The sequence below is a fragment of the Homo sapiens genome, chromosome 2 (assembly GCF_000001405.40).
Source record: "Homo sapiens chromosome 2, GRCh38.p14 Primary Assembly".
NCBI lineage: Eukaryota > Metazoa > Chordata > Mammalia > Primates > Hominidae > Homo > Homo sapiens.
Window position 1 is genome coordinate 68,351,158 of NC_000002.12, and position 2,131 is coordinate 68,353,288.

The 2,131-nt window shown below is 41.1% G+C and overlaps 1 annotated feature.

The window, feature by feature from the left end:
* Nucleotides 1,474-1,888: a transcriptional cis regulatory region, noted in NCBI's record as "candidate enhancer chr2.2452 targeted for multiplex CRISPR interference". NCBI's record gives its function as "positively regulates CNRIP1 gene expression in K562 cells {active_cell/tissue: K562}" and the evidence as "EXISTENCE:mutant phenotype evidence [ECO:0000015][PMID:30612741]".

A 2,131-nucleotide genomic window follows, 5' to 3' on the forward strand; every position in this document is an offset into this window, starting at 1 on the left:
AGCTTGGGAAGACCTTGCTAGGAACTGCTGGAGTCACAGGGCTTTTTGCTCAGGACTTCTAAGCTCCTATAGAGACCTGCCCAGTTTTCTGACTGCGCTGGTTTAGAATACTCCCTTCCTCTATCCTAAACCTGAACGTGCATCACAGTACAATATGCCATACTGCACTGGTCAGTGTTTAATGGGACTCTTGAGTCTGTAGTCCACTTGCATCTAACAGGACCTCTTTTCCCTTGCTGTGGACCACAGCCTGCCCCCTACCCAATTCTGCTTTTGAAAACATGAGTTGAGAGCATGGAGGAAGGTGGTGCTAGAATACATCATCTCCGTAAAAAGAGATTTCAGGGTCTTTATCATGGGCACCCTTCAAGAAAATTTACCTTATTGTGGGGACCAGGGATCAAGATTGAGGGGCCCTGGCTCCACAGACTGTACAGTGGTTCTGGCCTTAGATAGTTTGTCACATGAGAGAGGAATATATGTACTTTGGGTAAGCCTGTGTTTTATTTAACAATACCCACTTTCATGCTGAGACAGCTAATAAGCATATAACTTTGGTAATTCAAGAAAAGACAAGTTAAAACCATGAGATACCATTTTATATCCACTAGATTGGCAAAAATTTTAAAGTCTAACAATACTAACTGTTGATAGAATCCTGCCAATATGAGAATAAATGCGTAAATTTTGTGAAACAATTTGGTGGTTGTTATCTTGTAAAGTATGACGCTGTGGGCCAGGCACAGTGACTCACAACTCTAATCCCAGCACTTTGGGAGGCCGAGGTGGGTGGATCACCTTAGGTCAGGAGTTCGAGACCAGTCTGGCTAACATGGTGAAATTTCGTCTCCACTAAAAATACAAAAAATTAGCTGGGGGTGGTGGCAGGCACTTGTAATCCCAGCTACATGGGAGGCTGAGGCAGGAGAAAGGAGAATCATTTGAACCTGTGAGGCAGAAGTTGCAGTGAGCAGAGATCGTGTCACTGTTCTCCAGCCTAGGCAACAAGAGTGAAACTCCGTTCCAGTCCTCAATATATCTGTGGTTCCAGTCGTCAGTATATCTCCAACATAAATGAGAGCACATAAGCACAAGAGGACAATCCTCATAGGATGAACATTTGTAAAAACAAAGAACTGGAAATAACTCAAATGTCTATTCGCAGGAGAACTATAAATAATATCGGGTATATTCACAGAACAGAATGTTATACAGAGGTGCAAATGAGTGAATACATGTACAGCTATATGCATCAACATAATGCCTGTGATGTTTGAACTTTAGGAATGTAATACTGGGTAACAAAAACAAGCTAAAAAGAATGTATATAATATTATGTTTCCAGTTCTTGTGCAATATATTCTGTTAATTCTCTGAGGTTATTAATTATTTTTTCTTTTCTTCCTTGCATTGTTCTTCTCACACAGTTCTTTGTGATTTGCATGTTTGTTTTCATTTCTAGCTTCATCTTAACGGTTTTCTTCCTGTGCCTAGTTATCTTTTGATGCCATTCAAGTTCAGATATAAGGCACTAAAAGTCTTACTTGTGCTTGGGTGGTATTTTTCAACTTATCTTGCTCCCAGTGGCTGGCTGGGCAGAGACCTGGTCGTTTGTTGGAGGCCTCCTCAGTGTCATATCTGATAGTCGTTTCCCCAGAGAGGTACACCCCAATCATGCTCTGGGTGGGTGTTGGCCTGGCTACCAATATCCCTGACCCAAGAAGAGGGGGTGAGCTGACTATTATCTCACTGTCTGGTATGCAGACTTTATCTATCTGTTTTCATATGTGCTTTATCTCCATTTTTAGCTGTGATGGTTGTCTTAGAATCCTCTCTTGTCTTCCTTATTCAACATCTCTGAAATGAGCAGTTCTCAAAGTATGGGCTACAGGCTCCTGAGAGTCTCTGAGACTCAAGAGTCTAAGAGGTGTAAACTATTTTCATAGTAATACCAAGATGTTATTTGATTTTTTTCTATGTCAACATTTGCACTGACAGTGCAAAAAAAATGGTGAGTAAAATTGCTGACACCTTAGCATGAATCAAGGCAGAAATTGTGTAATTTTCACTGTGATTCAGTCAGGGTGGAGAAAAAAAGCAAGCAAACTTCAAAATGTCCTTGAAGATGCAG